This window comes from Homo sapiens, chromosome 2 (genome assembly GCF_000001405.40).
Source record: "Homo sapiens chromosome 2, GRCh38.p14 Primary Assembly".
Taxonomy (NCBI): Eukaryota; Metazoa; Chordata; class Mammalia; order Primates; family Hominidae; genus Homo; species Homo sapiens.
This window is the reverse complement of record NC_000002.12, coordinates 122018653-122040353: the sequence shown is the minus strand read 5'-3', so window position 1 is coordinate 122040353 and position 21701 is coordinate 122018653. Positions and strand designations below refer to the sequence as shown.

At 45.3% G+C, this 21701-nt stretch overlaps 1 long non-coding RNA gene across 8 annotated transcripts in view, besides 1 other annotated feature; it reads right to left on the bottom strand.

The window, feature by feature from the left end:
* LOC105373592 (uncharacterized) overlaps nucleotides 1–21701 on the bottom strand; it is a 530486-nt gene that overhangs the window by 392585 nt on the left and 116200 nt on the right. Inside the window, exon 3 of one of the 8 annotated variants that reach the window (XR_923283.3) lies at nucleotides 48–163. The exons of 6 other annotated variants lie outside the window; for them this stretch is intronic. This is a non-coding gene — a long non-coding RNA (uncharacterized LOC105373592). The remainder of the gene's footprint in view (nucleotides 1–47; nucleotides 164–21701) is intronic. One more of the 8 variants, XR_923284.3, reaches the window with a different exon arrangement.
* Nucleotides 11325–12524: an enhancer, noted in NCBI's record as "CDK7 strongly-dependent group 2 enhancer chr2:122785406-122786605 (GRCh37/hg19 assembly coordinates)". NCBI's record gives its function as "activates an origin of replication core promoter dependent on BRD2, BRD4, P300/CBP, MED14 and CDK7 cofactors, with strong dependence on CDK7, by STARR-seq in HCT116 cells {active_cell/tissue: HCT116}" and the evidence as "EXISTENCE:reporter gene assay evidence [ECO:0000049][PMID:35650434]".

Here is a 21701-nt window from a genome sequence, read left to right as displayed (position 1 = left end):
AAGGGTCATAGAGGTGGTTCTTTCCCAGTCACGAAGGGAGGACTTACCTGGGCAGGAGCTCTCCTGGCTAATGGCACCCTAACTGGAGGACTCCTGGGGCACGTGAAGACTTCGTAAAGAAGACTGGTACTTCAAGCAGTTTATATTTTCCTGATTCCTGCTTCTTAGAAAAAGTAATAAATTAGTAATTTCTGAACCTAGAGTGACCTAGAAGGAAAAAAACAGAAACGTTTGATTCTGATCAATCTGAATGTGCAAAGTGACTCAGCCACTTCCCAACTATGAGAGGTTCTTAGCAAAACTACTTAAACTAGGAGTCTTCATTCCGGGATTAGGACATCAACATATATTTTCCATTCTCAGGGTCCTATTTCAAGGCTCTGAGTTCATATACGTGAATTCCAGGAACATTAGCAGAGGCTCAGTGCAATCGGTAGTTATTGGTGTTGTCATTGTACCATATGGGATCAGGATTGCATCATTAAAAATCAGTGTTGTCCTGAATGGTATTGCCTAGGTTTCCTTCTAGGGTTTTTATGGTTTTAGGTCTAATCTTTAAGTCTTTAATCCATCTTGAATTAATTTTTGTATAAGGTGTAAGGAAGGGATCCAGTTTCTACATATGGCTAGCCAGTTTTCCCAACACCATTCATTAAATAGGGAATCCTTTCCCCATTTCTTGTTTTTGTCAGGTTTGTCAAAGATCAGATGGTTGTAGATGTGTGGTATTATTTCTGAGGGCTCTGTTCTGTTCCATTGGTCTATATCTCTGTTTTGTTACCAGTACCATGCTGTTTTGGTTACTATAGCCTTGTAGTATAGTTTGAAGTCAGGTAGTGTGATGCTTCCAGCTTTGTTCTTTTGGCTTAGGATTGTCTTGGCAATGCAGGCCCTTTTTTGATTCCATATGACCTTTAAAGTAGTTTTTTCCAATTCTGTGAAGAAAGTCATTGGTAGCTTGATGGGGATGGCATTGAATCTATAAATTACCTTGGGCAGTATGGCCATTTTCACGATATTGATTCTTCCTATCCATGAGCATGGAATGTTCTTCCATTTGTTTGTATCCTCTTTTATTTTGTTGAGCAGTGGTTTATAGTTCTCCATGAAGAGGTCCTTCACATCCCTTGTAAGTTGGATTCCTAGGTATTTTATTCTCTTTGAAGCAATTGTGAATGGGAGTTCACTCGTGGTTTTGCTCTGTTTGTCTGTTATCGGTGTATAAGAATGCTTGTGATTTTTGCATATTGATTTTGTATCCTGAGACTTTGCTGAAGTTGCTTATCAGCTTAAGGAGATTTTGGGCTGAGACAATGGGGTTTTCTAAATATACAATGATGTCATCCGCAAACAGGGACAATTTGACTTCCTCTTTTCCTAATTGAATACTCTTTATTTCTTTCTCCTGCCTGACAGCCCTGGCCAGAACTTCCAACGCTATGTTGAACAGGAGTGGTGAGAGAGGGCATCCCTGTCTTGTGCCAGTTTTCAAAGGGAATGCTTCCAGTTTTTTCCCATTTAGTATGATATTGGCTGTGGGTTTGTCATAAATAGCTCCTATTATTTTGAGATACGTCCCATCGATACCTAATTTAGTGACAGTTTTTAGCACGAAGGGCTGTTGAATTTTGTCGAAGGCCTTTTCTGCATCTATTGAGATAATCATGTGGTTTTTTGTCTTTGGTTCTGTTTATATGTTGGATTACATTTATTGATTTGCATATGTTGAACAAAACACCAAAAGCAAAGGCAACAAAAGCCAACACTGACAAATGGGATCTAATTAAACTAAAGAGCTTCTGCACAGCAAAAGAAACTACCATCAGAGTGAACAGGCAACCTACAGAATGGGAGAAAATTTTTGCAATCTACTCATCGGACAAAGGGCTAATATCCAGAATCTACAAAGAATTCAAACAAATTTACAAGAAAAGAACAATCAACCCCATCAACAAGTGGGCAAAGGATATGAACAGACACTTCTCAAAAGAAGACATTTATGCAGCCAACAGACACATGAAAAAATGCTCATCATCTCTGGCCATCAGAGAAATGCAAATCAAGACCACAATGAGATACCATCTCACACCAGTTAGAAGGGCAATCATTGAAAAATCAGGACACAACAGGTGCTGGAGAGGATGTGGAGAAATAGGAACACTTTTACACTGTTGGTGGGACTGTAAACTAGTTCAACCATTGTGGAAGACAGTGTGGCGATTCCTCAAGGATCTAGAACTAGATATACCATTTGACCCAGCCATCCCATTACTGGGTATATACTCAAAGGATTATAAATCATGCTGCTATAAAGACACATGCCCACGTATGTTTATTGCGGCACTATTCACAATAGCAAAGACTTGGAACCAACCCAAATGTCCATCAATGAGAGACTGGATTAAGAATATGTGGCACATATACACCATGGAATACTATGCAGCCATAAAAAAAAGATGAGTTCATGTCCTTTGTAGGGACATGGATGAAGTTGGAAACCATCATTCTCAGCAAACTATCTCAAGGACAAAAAACCAAACACTGCATGTTCTCACTCATAGTTGGGAATTGAACAATGAGAACACTTGGACACAGGGTGGGGAACATCACACACCGGGGCCTGTCATGGGGTGGGGGGAGCGGGGAGGGAAAGCATTAGGAGATCTACCTAATGTAAATGACGAGTTAATGGGTAGAGCACACCAACATGGCACATGTATACATATGTAACAAACCTGCATGTTGTGCACATGTACCCTAGAACTTAAAGTATAATAATAAAAAAAAAAGACTTTACAAATTAAAAAAAAATATCAGTGTTGTCGAGCTCAGCTGCAAAGAAGTTTGATTAGACAATCCAAGCTACTCTTCCTAACCAAGATTCACTGGGTATTGAGAGAGGGCTGAAATGACACTGTTGAATTGCAGGACAGCATGGCTCTCAAGTGACATTCTGTCCAGAGTGCAAGGAGCACCCACAGGTGCTTTGCAGTAAAGGCACTTCAATCTCATTTCTAACACTCAGGAAATGCTGAAATGTAAGGACTTTACCCGCTCTGCCTCTGATGAAAATCGGCCAATAACAAACACATAAGTGCCATTGTTTACCACAGCAACGCCCTTGGCAAGAGATCCCCACATTCCCACCCACAACCCCTCATGGCGTGGCCAGGATGACCCAGGGCAGACAACAAGACCTTCTTGTAAGTATCAGAGGAATGAAAGCAGGTGTCTGAAGAAATTCTTAGTCCATGCCGGGCACAGTGGCTCATGCCTGTAATCTCAGCACTTTGGGAGCCCAAGGTGGGCGGATCATGAGGCCAGGAGTTCAAAACCAGCCTGGCCAGCATGATGATACCCCGTCTCTACTAAAGATACAAAAATTAGCTGGGCATGGTGGTGCGTGCCTGTAATCCCAGCTACTCAGGAGGCTGGGGCAGGAGAATAGCTGGAACCTGGGAGGCAGAGGTTGCAGTGAGCAAAGATCATGCCGTTGCACTCCAGCCTGGGTGACAGGGTGAGACTCCATCTCAAAAAAAAAAGAAAAAAAAGAAAAGAAAGAAAGGAATTCTTAGTCCAACTACAGACTGTGGTGTTTGGGACACTCCCACATTCTCAAATCAAGACTAACCTTCAACAGGTCTCACAAGCTCCCTGTCATGCTGATGCACCAATCCAGGGGCCACAGCTGGGAACCAGTGCTCCAGGGCAGCGGTCAGCAAACTAGAACCCTCCAGTGGGCCAAATCCCACCTGCCTCCTATGTTTAGACAGCCCTCAAACTACAAATGGTTTTTACACATTCGAATGGTTAGAAAGAAAGGGTAAGGAGCAGGGAAAGCATTTCATGATGCTTGAAAATTACAGAAAATTCACACTTCAGTATCCATAGATAAAAGCACATTGAAATGTAGCCATGCTCACTCATGGAAGTGTTGTCTGTGGCAGCGGTCCCCAGTCTTTTTGGCACCAGGGGTCAGTTCCATGGAAGACAATTTCTCCATGGACGGGTGTTGGGAGTAAGGATGGTTTGGGGATGAAACTGTTCAACCTCAGATCATCAGGCATTAGTCAGATTCTCATAAGGAGTGCACAACCACCTAGATCCCTCGCATGCACAGTTCACAACAGGGTTCGCGCTCCCAAGAGAATCTAATGCCGCAGCTGATCTGACAGGAGGAGGAGCTCAGGTGGTAACGCTCACTCACCCACTGCTTACCTCTTGCTGTGCAGCCCTGTTCCTAACAGGACACAGATTGGTACTGGTCCACAGCCCAGGGGCTGAAGACCCCAGGTCTATGGCTATTTTTTTTTTTTTTTTTGAGATGGAGTCGCACTCTGTCACCCAGGCTGGAGTGCAGTGTCGCGATCTCGGCTCACTGCAACCTCCACCTCCCAGGTTCAAGTGATTCTCCTGCCTCAGCCTCCTGAGTAGCTGGGATTACAGGCACGCACCACCATGCCCAGCTAATTTTTGTATTTTTAGTAGAGACGGGGTTTCGCCATCTTGGCCAAGATGGTCTCGATCTACTGACCTCGTGATCTGCCCTCCTCAGCCTCCCAAAGCGCTGGGACTACAGGCGTGAGCCACCGCACCTGGGTCTATGGCTATTTTTGTGCTACAATGGCACAGCTAAGTACTTGCAATAGAGACCATAGAGCCTGAAAATATATACTACATGGTCCTTTAGAGAAAATGCCTCCTCTAGGGAAAGCAAATGGCTCCATGGAACACCTGAAAGGGAAGGGTGACGCCCAGAGCCTGGTTTCCTGCTCTTTGTCCTGTGTTCTGGGTTCATCTTAAAATGAGTGCTTTACAGAGAATAACTTCTTTAATGCTTAGGTATTAATAAAAGGAAGATTTTTTTTAAGTTCCCTTTAATCTTTCCCTTTCTGCTTATATTCAAATAAAAGCAATTACAGCGCAGAGGCCTGCTAAGAAGTCTGATGATTTATGCAAAAGTAATGTGGCAAGAGCTTGAAGCAAATGTATTTATTAAAGTAACCCAAATAATCAGATCATAGCAAATGGAGAGAAAAAAAATCCAAACCTGTAATTCCTAGCCAGTATTTCATTTTCGTTTACATTTAAATGATACATCTTGTGGCAAATTATTTCAGACTTTTTCTACCAGGAGAAAGGGGAAGAAAAATGCACTCATTGAAGGAAAGCTCTGCAAGAGGCAAAAGTGATAAACTTCCCCAAGCCTATTTACAAATGCAGTCAATGAAACAGAATTTTAATGAATTGTGCCACATAATCCGGCAGTTAATGAGCTGCAAAAGCCTTTGTCAATTGCAGTGACTGGGAACTAACTCTTTCAGTTTCAAGATCAATAAGAGAATTCTCTGCTCTGCGTTACCCAAAAGGGAACTCTGGGGAGAAAGGAAGTTGTCAGAGGAATGTCATCTCTACAGGTCGCAGCAGCAAGGCCGCCATCTGTTTTGTGTGTCTCCTCCATCCCCCCTCCCCCCCTTTATATTTAAATCCCCACTTCAGACTGAGGAGTAAAAGACAGTTTGGAGATCAAACAGCACAAGTCCTGTGAACTGCCAACACAAAATGACAACAAAAAGGTTTGAATGACTCTAAAAATATCTCCCAATATTTTAGAAACTGTATTGAGTCCGGACGCTGTTCTGGACCTCTGGGAGGGGGTAAAACCCTTGGCATTCACTATTTTTGATAGACAAAGGCAATGAGAAGTGGGTTGTTAAGGATTAAACAGGCCTGAGGCATCCTGCTAATTTGTCCTTCCATAACACTTCTTTTATCTGCTGTTTTCATTGCTCTGCCGCCAAATAATCACATTCTTTTTCAGAGGTCTGGGATTTGCAATTATGGTATGATCCATCTCTATCACCCAGAGTTGTTGCTAGGGAGATGTGGTTGTCGCTATGGTCCTAATGCCACAGGACATAAGAAATCCCAGGTGGAAAAGACGCATCATTCAACAGCAGGTGGACAACATTTACTGAGCATACACCAAGTGGAAACAATGAGGAACCTTGGGAAGGCAGAGATGAATGAGACCTCAAAACCACCTTTAATTTGCTCTTCGACCACTAGAGGAGACACACAATTAGGCTTGTTGAATGAATTAATAGACAATAGAGTTATAGATTTCTTGTTTGGCAGAGGCCTTAAAAAGATTTTTTATTTCATGTTAGGGACCCAGTGAATATGTTTCAATTGAGAGGCAAGAAACGTATATATCATTTCAACACCCATGCAAACTGAGTGAAGCCATTCCTACCACATCATCCCCCAACACCCAGTCTTGGAGTTTACTTAGAGGCAATTTCCACTACACCTGTGTTTTCACCCATTAAGGCTCTGTCTCCCTTTCTGGCATCAGGTGTGAAACTATTAGCCAAAGCCACAAGAAAGCAATTTCAGGAAGGGAAAGCCTCATAAAATGTGAAAAATTAAAGCGGTCCTGAATGTTGCATTGAGGAAATTGCCACAGGCAATCCCATTCTGTCAACAGAATGTTCCACTTGGCTGCAACCAAGACACCAGTGAAATGTTTTGACACATGGCACGGTAGAGAAAAGGGAGAATGAGGCACTGAGAGAATCAGGCTGCCCCAGATCACCCAACATTCATTCTAATATTTAGTAAACTTCTGCCAGACTAGAAAGAGATAAAAAGATGTAGTCCCTGTCTTCGAGCAGTTTACAATCTAGCCAAAGAGGTAGGTTTGCATACAGATCTTCATAACAGGGGAAAATGAAGCAATTCCTCTAAGAAGTGCCACTGAATACCAGAAAAAGAGGTGAGACCTGCTTCTACTTCAAGAAGATCTGAAATGCGATAGCAGCCCTTCTGAATAAAGGAAACGAGTCATCCAAAAAGTGCCATGGGAGGAGACTCATCTCAGGGGGAGAGGCTTTGGGCCCCAGAGCCCAGATTTGCCCTTCTATGGTTAACTTCTCCTTGGACTTGGGGATGGGGGTCTGAAGGCTTTTACTAATCAGATCCAAGAGTAATATGAAATCTTTCTCTCAGGTGCCATTGCACAGCTGAGGCAAGGCTAGAATATTCAGATAAGATCACATCAAGTGTCAAAGGTTAAAAAAGAACTTTGAAAATTGATAGCCCAAATTATCAAGCAATATGACCTCATCTTTCACTTGTAGCCCTCCTTTCCCTAGAGGGGCTCCCCTTTCTTGGACCTGCCTTATATCTTTGTAGTGGGCACCATGTCAGCATCACCCAAGATGCTGTGAGCCCATGCCAGGACACTCCTGTCCTTCAAATCTGAATACAAGAGGATATGCTTTTAGAGAGGGGAGTTTCCTGCCTATAAATTTGGTTCTGATTTCTTCCCCAAGAAGCCACCTTGGAGGACCTCAAAACGAGCACCCCCTCGGAAGAATTCCTATATGCCCACAGGGTCACAGTTTGCAGCAACCTGCACACAACACAACAGCCAGCCTTGGCACATGGAGCTATAGACATGCAGAGCTGGAGGTGAGCAGGTGCAGGCAAAGATGTTCAGTTTTCTTCAGTATCTGTGCTGGAAGCAGGAGACTATCTTTCAGTGCCACTAATTCAAACTACAAAGAAGGATGTGCTGCCATTTTACCTTCTTCAAATGTGAAAAAGTAGCAAATCTTAGCTCCTCTCCTTCCAATCCAATTAAGAGTCTCCTCTCTGGCTTTCTGAACCTCCAACGGCTTCCTCTTCTGTCCACCCACCACATCTACTCAGGACCCAGCCACTCCCAAATGCCTTTTCCATCTTCAGCCAGGCTGATCTCAGAAATAATTATTCATCAGCACCTGTAAAGAGTCAGATGCAGTCCTCAACACAGAGGAAACCAAGTCCAGTGAGACTTGGCTGCTGCCTTCAGAGAGCTTACCACCAGCGAGGGAGCCAGGCGGGCGAGCCAGGGATGATCGCAAACACCAGAAGCACAAGACACACGGGCTCAGTACCCTGTGTGCAGGTGAGTAGGGATTGGATTGCCAAAAAGGAGGTGAGTGGTGTCCAAGTAAGAGGGGTGGTCTATGAAAAGTCACACCAGAACACAGCATGGCTCATTCACAAAGCCACAGACCATGCAGTGTAGCAGGAGCACGAGAGCTAGAAAAAGATGAAGTGACACTGTCAAGACAAAGCCAGCCCAGGAAGGATTTGGTGAGCCACACCGAGGAAGTTCATCTTCATTCTGAAGACAATAAAACCCGTAAGTGGTTTAAGCAAAGGGAGATTTGCATTTCCAGAGAGCACCCTGGTGGCTCTGGGGAGGCTGGCTGAGGACAGTAACACAGCTGGAGGACAGTTCCTGGACTGTCGCCAGGAAGCTGCTAAGGCCAGTAGGATGGCAGCGAGCCCAGCATCAGAAAGAGGAGGCTGTATCTGAGCAGTATCTAGGAAAGAAATGTGCAGCACTTGGCGGCTAACTGAAGCTCAGGTGTGAAGGAAGGCAAGCACACGTGGGCTCATTCCTTCCTTTGCCCCTTTGCCCAGGCAGTACTCCAGCCTGAAATGCCCCCCGCCCTTTCCTCATCCACCCTGGCCTGAAACCACTCTCACCTGCCCCCAGGAAGTCACCCCTAACAGCCTCCACCCACACTGTTCTTTCCTTTCTCCCCTACACGCTGTCAGGACTGCCCAGCTGAAAGCTGAGCAAGGCTGTGCTGCTGCTGCACTTTTCCATTGCTCCCTCTGCCTACTGGATGCAGCTCCCTGCGGGTAGACCGGGTCTCCCAGCCCATGTTGCTTCCCATGCATCTTCCACCTCTCTCAGTGTCATCTCATCCTCATTTGCATATGCAATTGCCACACAATAGTCTCAGCAGATGCAATAATAACTGGCTATCAAACCATCATCTTTTGAGAGCCAGGTATGTACCAGGCATCACTCTTTTTATCTATCTATGTATCTACCCATCTACCACTATGTCTATATTTTTTATGTTTTTTTTTTTTTTTTGAGACAGAGTCTCGCTCTGTCGCCCAGGCTGGAGTGCAGTGGTGCGATCTCAGCTCACTGCAAGCTCTGCCTCCCAGGTTCACACCATTCTCCTGCCTCAGCCTCCCGAGTAGCTGGGACTACAGGCGCCTGCCACCACGCCCAGCTAATTTTTTTGTATTTTCAGTAGAGACGGGGTTTCACCGGGTTAGCCAGGATGGTCTCGATCTCCTGACCTCATGATCCACCCGTCTCGGCCTCCCAAAAGTGCTGGGATTACAGGCGTGAGCCACTACGCCTGGCCTTTTTATGTATATTCTTATACGTAAAATAGTAGTATAAATATACTACTATATAAAAATAGTAGTATATTTTTACGTATATTCCTGTCCTTCTAGTCCTAACAACAACCCTTCAGGGTAGGGAGAATTATTTGCTTTCCAGAACCAGAACCAAGTGTTAAAGTGTTTAATCAGAAACTGAGAAGGGCCTGAGATGGTATCCTGCTTCGTAGGCTAATAAGTTAACCTGCCACCATTTTATACACATATAGTGACAGAAGACACAAGACACCTGGATCAGAGACAAAGACCATGTATTATTCACAGCAAAAGCAGCAGCTGGAGCAGTTGCTAGCATCAGTTTTTCTAAAACCCCAACCTCCACAAGGTGACATGGTGAGGTCCAATGGCGCCTGCATGTCACAGGACAGGAACCCCAAAATGGCAAAACCCTGATCTTAGATAGGGCTGCTGGTAACTTCCATTCTCCATTACAGAGAGAGATCTGTTTTTAAAATTGGAATGTAAGCAAATCCCTCCAGGGAGGGCAGTGGGAGTTACCTATCCTGGAAGGTCTCCAGAGAAGGAGCCATCGCTAAAGCTTTATTATCTCTGGTTTCTATAGCTGTGTATTATTCAAAATGCTTGAACAGACAGTCTGAGAAATGTAGGAACACAAATACTGAGCCATGATGTGCTGTTCCCCCTGCTTGTCTCCAGACAGCCCACGATGGTTCCTTGGTTTATAGCTCCTTGTTCTAGGACCCATGTCACTCTCCCCAAGGGCAGGCTCTGTGGAATCACAGCCAACTAGTAATGAATGCCACCTAACTACCACAGGCTATGAACCATGCCAGATGCTTTACAAACTATCTCTAATCACTGTAGCAACCCAGTAAGGTGGGTATTATCACTCCCACCTTAAACACGAGGAAGTTATGACTTGCAGGTGAGTGTCTTACTCATTGCTACACAGTGGAAGCAAGATTCTTTGCCAGGGCGATCTGACTACAAGCCCTGTGCTTTTCTTTACTCTTAAAGCCTTGAGAGTCTCCTTGGGTCTCTCAAGAGGTCAGGTTCCTCTTTGTCTCAGTGGAAGGAGTCGAGTAGCTGCCTTGCTTACTATTAATTTAAAAAGCCATTACTTAACCAGACCCTTCCTAGCAAGATGGCCTTTTAAGAATAGCAATTAAGAGCCTATATTTTATAAGCAGATCCAATTACCTTAGAGCAGGACAAGATAAAGGGTACAAGCTCATTAACTAAAAATGCCATGCTACCTTTGCTACAAAAAGGAGTTTTTAAAAAATCCAAGTGCCTTAAGAAAATTAAAACAACATCCAGGCAGCTTCCTACATGCATACAAAACACAACCACAACATTATGGCTGCGAACGCCAAAGCTCAGTACGATAATGTCATTGCCTTTCCAGGCCCCATGCAGATGGGGATGGGGCAAAAAACAGCAGTTGGTGGAGCAGGGGCCCCGCAGAACTGCAACCACAACCTGCTCTGTTTGCACCATGCCTGTCCCAGCCAACTCCTGTCACCAACCCACGATAACCCTGGGCCACAGTCAAACTGGCTTGCAAAGAAAAGCCTAGGAATACTTGTTCTACGATTATTGCTTTTAAATCCCTACCACTCAACTCGCATTTCTTTTTCTTGGGGTCAAAACCATTAGTGGCACCTGCTGGGCATTTCATTAAGGCTTATTTGAAGACATTAGACATCTGCCAGGTTGGAAGACAGAGCTGCCCGTGTAAAAGAGGGCAATAGCCACACACCAGCCATGGAGGTTCAGCTCAGTCCGGGGGACTGTCGTCGCGAGAGCCAACCATTTTTGGCTGCTGCTCTGGTTCCAAGTTGAACAAGGAGTATGTCGTCCGTATTGTTCCACCATGAACCCAATCTCTTTGAGGACCTATTCACAAGGAGGCTTAACTGAATGAAGATAGATGGGACACTGGATTCTGGCAATGATTTGTGATGAGGCTGCCAGTTTGCACACACCATGACTGATGAAGTGCGCAGCAACAACATGCACCTTGCAAGGCCCTGCTCTTTCCCCAAGAAGCAGCTCCTTCATCTCTCCTCCTTGCCTCACTATTAAAAATGGGGGGAAAGGTGGGAAAAGGTGGAATTATTGCAAAGTATTCTGTACAAGTGAAGCATCTATGAACTTGCTCCCATACACAGCACTGACTGTGGATCCAGGCCCATTCTAGAATGAAGTTTCAGTGACACTGAAAGAAAACATATGGTTCTCTTGTAATAACGTGGCATGGTGTAGACATAACCTAAATTTGAAAACCTCTTAAAATAGAAACCTTGATTCCATCTGTCCCTTAAAAAAGAAAAACTCATAATTGCTTATAACCATGTTCATTTACCATTTTCTCAAATGTTTAACAGCTGGTGAGGGGCAGAGGCCAGAAGAGCAGGAGGAGACGGGGTAATTAATAAAAGTCGTTATCCGCCTTGATTTCAAATGTTATCAGTGCTTAAAATGTCAAAACTATGTTCCCACATTCCTCAAATGACTCGCCCATAACGTGTCATAACTGAATCCAGCCCACGTATTCACCCCTGGAGGATTCTAAAGAATGAGCAAGCTAACCCTGACTACAGTACTTCTTTTGAAGGACTTTTGAAGGCTTTGACTCAGGGAGAACCATTTGCAGAGAGAATTCAATTGATGAGAAGAATGTATGCCAAATATTTATGTCTTAAAATTCCAATTGAACTTCTTTTCAAGACAAGGACTCAAAGCAGCAGGAAGTTGGAACCTGGTAATACATCTGTTTCTGCAGGGAAATGTCATTGGTTACACCTAAAGATGCGTGTGTCTTTATAGAGCTGGTATATCTCTTGGGAAGGATTCCAACAGACATATTCACAGGTACACTTCAGCTGTAGAATGTCTTGTAGCACACTGAGGATAATTTGCCTTTCCGAGGCAGTCTCCTGTCCAAGACAGTTTCTCAGAGCCGGGTGTGAAGACCACAAGCCCAGATTACCTGTGATGTTTGTAGGCCCTGCACACTCACTCCTGACCCTCATGCCTGCAGAATCAGAGTCCCCAGGTGGTCCCGGGCTGCATGCCAGCCACCCCTCAGCTGATTCTGATGCAGAGTCAGGTCTGGTACCAACGCAATCAGGGCCGCTGCCTCCCTGGCCACTCGCACTGGGCACCTGCAACAGTGAGGCAGGTCCCTCCTGTCCAGCTAGCTCTCTGCAACCATGCCTGGAGGTAGTATTTAGTCCACAATTTCATGAGGGCAATAAAAGGATTTGTTGAAAATGACTGAACACATACCACCTGGAAGGAGGAGAATCTTGGAGAGTTAAATTCACCATTATGATACGACACCCTAGAAATGACCATCCCCAGGGTCCCTGGGTCGCCTGCTGGTTCTTCCTCTTCAGAGAATAGTGAAGCATTCTCTGTTAAATCATGGGCTCAGTTCTCATCCAGACTGAGGCTGCTGGTAGCCCTCAGATTCTGCTGGGGTGCTTCCCACCCGACCTGTTCCCATGCCAGCCTGCACAGTTAGAACCTATATATGAAAAATCCTCAGCCTCTTCTTCTGTAATTCTCAGACTTCACTTAGGTAGATGGCATAGGAGAAATAATAACAACTGACTTTTGGGGAGAGTCAGGCCCCATGCAAGGGTTTTGCATGCACATCTTGCTTAATCTGCACACCTCCCCTATAAAGAACCAGTACAACAACTACTTTGTAATGAACAAATGGAGGCACAGAAAGGTTAAGAAACTTCCCCAAGGACACACAGCTGGCCAGTGCTAATATAACAAAGTAGTTTACTCAGCACAAGCTTCTTCAACCTGTGGCCTGCTTGCCCCATGCGGCCCAGGACAGCTTTGAAGCCGCCCAACACAAATTCATAAATTTTCATAAAACATTGCAAGATTTTTTTGTTATTTTTTTAGCTCAACAGCTATCATTAGTGCTAGTGTATTTTATGTGTGGCTCAAGACAATTGTTTTTCCAGTGTGGCCCAGGGAATCCAAAAGTTCAGAGAAAGCCCCTCACTTAGCGCATAGGTTGGTAGTCAATGTGTCTAAGATGCAAGGATGTTGCATATTTTACATAACTGCTCTACGCCTTATCTTCCTCACCTAATAAAGAGAAATGATACTAATAGAATTGTCATGGAGCTAGATGAGTGTAATGGTTAATTTTAGGTGTCAACTTGACTAGGTAAAGGGATGCCAGAATAGAATAGAGCCTCGGTGTGTCTGCAAGGCTGTTTCCAGAAGAGATGAGCATTTGCATTAGGGGACTAAGCAAAGCAGAGCCACCCTCCCCGGCATGGGCAGGCATCATCCAGTCCTTGGAGGACCCAGATAGAGCAAGAAGGTGGAGGAAGGGCAATGGTGCTCCCTCTGCTTGAACTGGGCCATCCATCTTCTCCTGCCCTTGGACATTGGAGCTCCTGGTACTCAGTCAGGCCTTTGGCCTGAGACTGAATTATACCATGATCTTTCCTGGCCCTCCAGCTTGCAGATAGCATATTGTGAAACTTCTCAGCCTTCATAATCGCATGACCCAATTCCCATAACAAATCTCCTGTTATATCTTTATCTATATTTATGCTATTGTTTCTGTTTTCTCTGGAAACCCTGACTAATACAATGAGTTAATTTGTAAAATGCTCAGAACATTACCAGTGCCTCATAAGCACTCAATAAATGCTGTCGTTCCTGATTTTGTATAGTTCCTAAGGAGGTTCCTTCCCTCTGGTGCTCTGCGTCTGTGCAAATAACCTACCCCGGCGAGAAGCATATCCCTCCCCATGTGTGCTCTGGGCCCCTGTACCGACTTCCAGCCTAAGGGCTCTGAAGCTCCCTGGTCAGTGACCATTGACAAAGAGTCTTTGCTTAACCAAACTTTAGTCAGGCTCTCAGCCTTCTCCTAGGTCCGTATGTGCACCTCCTTGTAAAAATCCAGCTTCAGCAAGAACCCTGCCAGGTCAGTTTTTTGTTTTTTGTTTTTTGTTTTTGAGACAGAGTCTCGCTCTGTCGCCCAGGCTGGAGTGTAGTGGCGTGATCTCAGCTCACTGCAAGCTCCGCCTCCCAGGTTCACGCCATTCTCCTGCCTCAGCCTCCTGAGTTCCTGGGACTACAGGCGCCCACGACCACACCCGGCTAATTTTTGTTGTATTTTTAGTAGAGACGGGGTTTCACCGTGTTAGCCAGGATGGTCTCGATCTCCTGACCTCGTGATCCGCTCGTCTCGGCCTCCCAAAGTGCTGGGATTACAGGTGTGAGCCACCGCACCTGGCCCCAAGTCAGTTTTGTAAGAATCCCCCTACCCTTGATACCTGATCACCCTCCATATCTGACCAGGCTCTTCATCCTCCACCATCCTCCAGGTGATGTCTGGTCACCCTGGCCCATCTTCAGCAAGGATCCTGTTAGGTCCGTTTAGCCAGAATCTCCCTTACCCTTGAGGTTTCCTCTTAGCAATTTTCCATCCACTTCCTCCCAACTTGCTCCTTGGCTATAAACCTCACGTGTGAGTGCTGTATTTGGAGTTGAGCCCAGTCTCTCTTCCCTGTGGCAAAATCCCATTGTGGTGGTCCCTTTTCCTATTGTGATATCTTGAATAACGTCTTCTTTACTGTGCTTTAACAAGTGTTGTCAGCCAGGCACAGTGGCTTACGCCTGTAATCCCAGTATTTTGGGAGGCTGAGGCGGGCAGATTACCTGAGGTCAGGAGTTCAAGACCAGCCTGGCCAACATGGTGAAACCCTGTCTCTACTTTAAAAAATACAAAAATTAGCCAGGCGTGGTAGTGCGGGCCTGTAATCCCAGCTACTCAGGAGGCTGAGGCAGGAGAATTGCTTGAGCCCAGGAGACGGAGGTTGAAGTGAGCCAAGACTATGCCACTGCACTCCAGCCTGGGGGACAGAGCGAGACTCTGTCTCAAAAACAAACAAACAAACAAAAAATGTTGTTGAATAATTTTTTCCTTAACACCATCTTCCACCTTCTTCTCCTTTGAGCTACATTTTTCCCACCCAAGACCAGCAAAAAGGGGACGCCCTGGCTGTGTGACGGGAAGAGCGCCTTCTTGGTGACAGCCTTAGCCAAGAACAGATTTTCCTCCATTGCACAGAAATGTGGCTGTTGTGGCACTTCCTCTCTACCACTATTAACCATCCTGCCAACCCCCCCCCACCCCCCCACAGCAGTTTAGCCTCCACATCCATCAGTGTGTCCTCAGCCCCCACCAGCCTAGTCTGCACTTGCTGAAAGAAAAACTTCAGCATCTAAACTACTTACAAAAACTGAACTTGCCTTCCCTGTGTCATGGGCATGTGGGGTGCAGCTGGGCTGCAGGGAAGACAGAAGCCAGGCCCTACTTCACTCGCATGGGATGGCCTCTCTTCTGTTAATCTTACCATTTCTTCCTGCCCAGACCAGGTTCCTTCCCCTCCATGAAGTCTTTATGTGCACTCCAGCCTACACCAACTCTCCCTTCTCTCTTTTCTCTGACATGACCCAGAAATCCCATTACTAGGCATATACCCCAAGGAATATAAATTTTTCTACCATAAAAACACATGTGCACATATGTTCATTGCAGCACTATTCACAATAACAAAGACATGGAATCAACCTAGAAGCCCATCAATAGTAGACTGGATAAAGAAAATGTGGAATATTACCCAGCCATAAAAGAGAACAAGGTCATATCCTTTGCAGCAACATGGATGGATCTAGACATCTTTGTCCTAAGTGAACTAACATAGGAACAGAAACAAAACACCACATGTTCTCACTTATAACTGAGAGCTAAACACTGAGTACAGACGGATGCAAAGAAGGGAACAATAGACACCAGGGCCTGCTTGAGGTTGGCTGGGTGAAAGGAGGATGAGTGTCGAAAAACTAACCTACCGGGCACCATGCTTATTACCTGGGCGACTAAATAATCTGTACATCAAACCCCTGCAACATGTAATTTACGCATGTAACAAACCTGCATATGTACCCTTGAATCTAAAACAAAAGTATATTAAAAAAAGAAAAAAAAAAAACAGGCTTTGGGCTGGAATTGGCCCACAGGTCAAGTTTCTCAACACCTGAGTTTTAAAAACAAAAAAGAAGCAAATTTTAGATCAGTATGTACAAGTTGAAGAGCAAAGTTCCCCTATCTATATTTAAAAAAAAACATAAATCTGTATATGTTCATTATTATGTATATACGTGCTTTTTAAAGTTTGGAAGGATTACAAAAAAGATAAAATGATCAGGCCACCTTTAAATAGCATGAGGAATTTTGACAACTGTCTTTTTTTACGCGTGACCTCTATTCCCCTTCAACCATCATTTAGATAGCAACTCTAATACATAATTTTTCTAAGTAAGTGTGTTCAGCCCCCTCCCTAAGGAACAATTGGCAGGCAACCAAATCCCAATCCTCGCTCCTAGCATCAGAACGCCCAAGCCAGCCAAGACAGGGGCCAAAGGCAACCACAGCCTGCTGGAGCAGGGACTTTGATACCTGGTCTTTGCTCTTCAAGATCCAAAAGCCAGAAACAGGAATTTTTTCAAAACAGCAATTCATTTGAAGTATTAATTAAAATGCAAATTACTCCAAGATGGCTTGGCTTTCAAATGTTTGCTCTGTAGTTTTCATGAATATAAAGCACATGACAGGCTTCTGTTTCGAACCATCTGCATACTTGCTCACAGTTGAAAAAGTGCTTGACTTGAACATAACTGAGGGGGGCGATGAGTGCCAAGCAAAGCAGTAACACCTTTAGCAAGAGCTGTTCCCCTTCTGGAGGACAAAGGAGAAAAGGGTTGGGGAACAGCCCCCTCTGCCAAGACTCAGCCTCCAACAGGGTCCTTTGAGTGGGGTGGAGCCTGCTACCCTCCAGGAAGGGGAGCCAGTTACCACGGCACACCACACAACCCTCTACAATGCATCAGCTGGCTCATGGGCCTTTCCTTCCTGAATCAGGGAAGGGAGAGAAGCAGTGAACAGACATGAAGCTCATAAGGGATGTTTCTGGCTCTGTGTGTGTGTGCTTTTGTTTGTTTGGGGTCTTTTATTTTTGTACAGACAGTCTCGCTATGTTGCCCAGGCTGGTCACAAACTCCTGGCCTCACATGATTCTCCTGCCTTGGCCTCCCAAAGTGCTGGAGTTACAGGCATGAGCCACCACTCCTGGCCATCTGAGTGTTTTTGAACCAATCACTTTGCCCCCAGTTTGACAATGGATGTTTTCTGTTCTCAAAGTCCATCTTGGGCCACCCCTCCCTGCAGAGAGCTGCGTGTCTGCTCCCGTGTGAACCCCAGGTTTCCTGTCTCCTCCCTCTCTGATGTCTCCACCCCTGATTTCAAACTCCTCTTCCCTGCATTGTTCAAAGAACTCCTACCCTCCCCAGCTACCTCCTACTTCTGCACTTGCCTAAACAAGACCCACCCAATGGAAGACAGTTTACCAACCCTCCTCTATCACTAACCACGCCTCACCCCCAGTTCCCACCTCAAACAGCTATCAAGGCATCTCTTGCAAACACAAATTCAGGGGAAAGGAGTCATGCCCACCTTACTCCATCTTCCCTTCAGAAAGTCCAAGGAGATGGGAGAGGAGGCATGAGAATGACACAGCCCTCTCTTCTTTAGACCTTGCTTCCTGCAGACATTTCTGCTTTGGCAAATAATCAAAGGCTCAGATGGCCCCTAAAAGCTGCCTGCAGATATTTGAGGGGCTGTCTTGTGCCAGAGAAGACAGAGGACAGACCAGGCATCCACAGGAGGGCTGCGCCCCACACTATTGCAAGGTATTGGAAGGGGATCCCCATGACCGCACATCATGGCCCTATCTCAGGCAAAAGTTGAATTGGATGAACCTCCAGCTTCTCCCACAAAAGGCCTATGGACTCTACATTCTCACAGCTCAGTCTTCAGAGGGGAGAGAACATCTGAATGCTGGCCACGTGAAAGTGTACCTAATTGCTCCCACAAGCTCAGGTTACCTCCTGCCCTGGATGCTCATTCTGTCTTACTAAGCAGGCACTCGCTGGTCCAGGTTTAATGAGTAAAACATTTCACATTAGCAGCATTCGTTTGTTTGAAAGCAAAAGCAATTTGTTCTTTTAAATAGGTTAAGCCCACCTTGACAGTGTTGTGTATATTCTTACTTTGTATGGTCAATGTTTTGTTCAAAGGAATGCAAAGGGGAACTCTGGTCCTGCCTTTTTGGGGGATCATGATCAGTTCTGAATTAGAAAAATGTTAAATAAATAGAATTTCCTGAACTCTGAAAAATGTCATAGTGTGGTTGTGTTTGTTTATTACATAAATAAACTTAGTTGATTTCACCCATTTGACCCAATGCTAGGCTTGTGTTTATTTCACCCATTTGACACAATGCTAGACTTAGCTAAACCCAAGCTCTCTGGGCCACGCTGCCCTCAGCACATGCCAAGTGCATGCCAAGACCCACTAGAATATTCTTTCCACTAAGGCTATCTACCTGTAGCTGTTTAGTTTAATTTGGTTTGGTTTAGTTCCATTCAGATCAGTTTAATTTAGTTTTGCTTAGTTTTTCATTGCTTTATTTTGTTTTGGGGATGTGGGCAAAGCGAATAGTCCAAAAACACTCAGAAAGGGCAACGTGTTAAGATGTATGTTGGAGGTGTGTTTCAGAAAAGACAAGTAAACAGCCGTCTTCTAAGCTCTGCTCTGTGCCCAGCCCAAACCTCAATAGTGCTGGGATATGGAAGTACTCTCAAAAAGCCACCAGTCTAGCACAGGCAATGAAGCCATTGAAAGTAGTGGCAAAAACCACAATTACTTTTGCACCAACCTAATTATATGTGTGTGTGTATATACATATGTAACTGGCTTACTACTTAAACATATTTTTGACCATGTGCTATGTAGAAGGCATGCCATGGGGTCCCGTGGAGAGCCAGGGCCCTGGTTTCTGGGTGCCGATAGCCCAGCAAGGGAGAGAGGACAGACACGATAACCCAAAGTAAAACTGAATGAGTCAGACAATTAAATGCTATAAGAGTTAAAGGAAAAAGAGCCCACAGTGGGGTTACTGGATTTAGCAAATAAAAAGACAGGACATTCAGTTAAATTTGAACTTCAGACGAACAAAGAATAATTTTTATTATAAGTGTGTCCAAAATATTGCATGGGCCATATTATGTTATTTGGGATGTACTTACAAGAAATTTTTTTAAATTTACTGTTAATCTAAAATTGAAATATACCTAGGCATCCTGTATTTTATCTGGCAACCTCAGCATAGTGGGCTGAGAAGAGGAAGCCAGACTTCTAAGAGGAGGTGGGATGTCAAGCACGCAGAATGTTAGAGGGAAAGGATATTGCTGATATTTGTGGGGAAGGTCAATGTGAGAGAAGTTTAGGGTGGGCTGGGGGTGGGCTCAGCTAGACCACTTCAAAGCTGAGAAGGCGGGAGTGAGCAGATGACAATGTGGAATGCTGGCTAAATTGTCTGAGTCTACCTCAGACAAGGAACCTTATTCATCAAATCCATGTCTTCCTGTATGATAGGAGCATGCTATTAAAAGGGAAAGACTATGGAAGCTTTCGCAAGGCAGGCTGTCCATCTCCCAGCTTATGAATGTCAGTCACACTTTATACATCAGTGTCATTTCTTAAAGAACGACTCATTTGCTGCAGTTAGGACCAGCTCAATTCATGCTCCGAAATTTCTTTAAAGGGACCTTTCAGTCCCATTTGAATCTAGTTCGATCAAAATTAGATGTGTGCTGAGGCAGTTTTGGTAACTGTTAGGGTCTTTGCAAATGAGTTCTGATGGTGACTTTCCATCTCAATAGCTCACCACTGCAGGGTCTTGGCAGAGTCCCGTCACCCCTCTGAGCCTCAGTGCTCTCATATATGCAGTCTACCTTACCCACTAGGGACCAGAGGCAGTGCCTAAAAAGCATCTAGCAAAACACAGGATGCAGTGGACACTCCCGTTGGCAGGAACCTGGTTTTCAGCACCATTCTGACAGATACATGCAGATTTCTGCTCTACAAAACAGTCATCTGAGCAGTCTTCAATCTCCCTTAAATAAAAGTTTATGAGCTCAGTCCTCCTCTTTCTCACCAGTTACTCTTTAACTAAAGCCTCACGTGCTGCAGCTGCACAGCCTGGTTAGCAGTGAGAGAACCAAGCCACACCGAGCCTGTGTGTTCCTGCCAACGCTGCGAGACCTGGGAAGAAGCACATGGCATGTCCTGGCAGCCTTCTGAGCACTGCCGTTTATCCTTTGCAGGACAAACTTAGTACTTCCCCAATCCTCCGTGCTGCTGTGGTGCTTTAAATCAAAAGAACCTTTGATGGAAAAACAATGATCTCTTTTTTCTGAGCTGGCTTGAGCCCATGTTTCCCCAACCGATGTCAGGATCTGCCTTTGGCTCCAATCTCACACTGTTCCCTGCAGCCCCTTTGATTCCCTCCCTGCAGCAGCAGGTGGCCCACCTGCTCATGCCTGAAGACACAGGCAGGTCAACGATGAAGTTGGCACCTGCTCCAGTAAGAGGACCCAAAGACACTTTCTGAGCCTAATATTAAGTCTTGAAAGTGTGATCCTTAAGGATTTCAAATAACGCGAGCCAAGTTTCCTGCACACTCGTCCAGCAGCTATACTGGGTAACTGTGCCTGATCTCAAGATGTTACATATCTCAAACTCAGTTTCCTCATCTGTAAAATGGAAATAGTACCACCCTCAGGGCTACTGCAAGGCTTAAATAATTCTCTACATAGGAATATCCTAGCACTGCTCTTGGCACACAACCAACACTCAGGAGATGGTTATACATTTATTGAGTGTTTACTAGGTACCAGCGATTGTTCTAAGTGCTTTGCAAATATTAACTCATTTAATCCCTGCAACAACCCTACAAGTGAAGTGCAGTTATTACCCTCCACCCCCACTGTGTTTCCAGTGAGGAAATGGTGATGCTCCACCAGGTTCCGTGTCTTGCCCAATTCATGCAGCATTTGCGGGTCAGCTGGGCTTGGAACTCCGGACTCCAGGCTCTGACTACTACCCCATCACTGCCTCCTTACAGAAGTCGGTCATTGTACCATTGCAGGAAAGTCAAGGCTTATGCCAGTCATAGGCAAGGTCAGCCTCAGGACCTTGTGGCTGTGGAACAGAATGAAGGCTGCACCCCACACCTCACGCCACCACCTCTGGGCTCAGCACTGCCTCTCAATCACAGGGAGCATGGCGGCTGGGCCACCGTTGCTGGTCATCATCCCCTGTTTCTGAAGCTCAGTCACATCAGTGCTACCAGGAGATCCTGGTGGGGTCTCTCAGGCCTAAAAGCCCATCTCCACCCTGCAGAGCACGCCCTAAACATCCCACAGCTTGGGCAGGCCATCTTCTTCTCTCTTGAAAGACATGAGGGAGGAGCCAAGATGGCCAAACAGGAACAGCTCCGGTCTACAGCTCCCAGCAT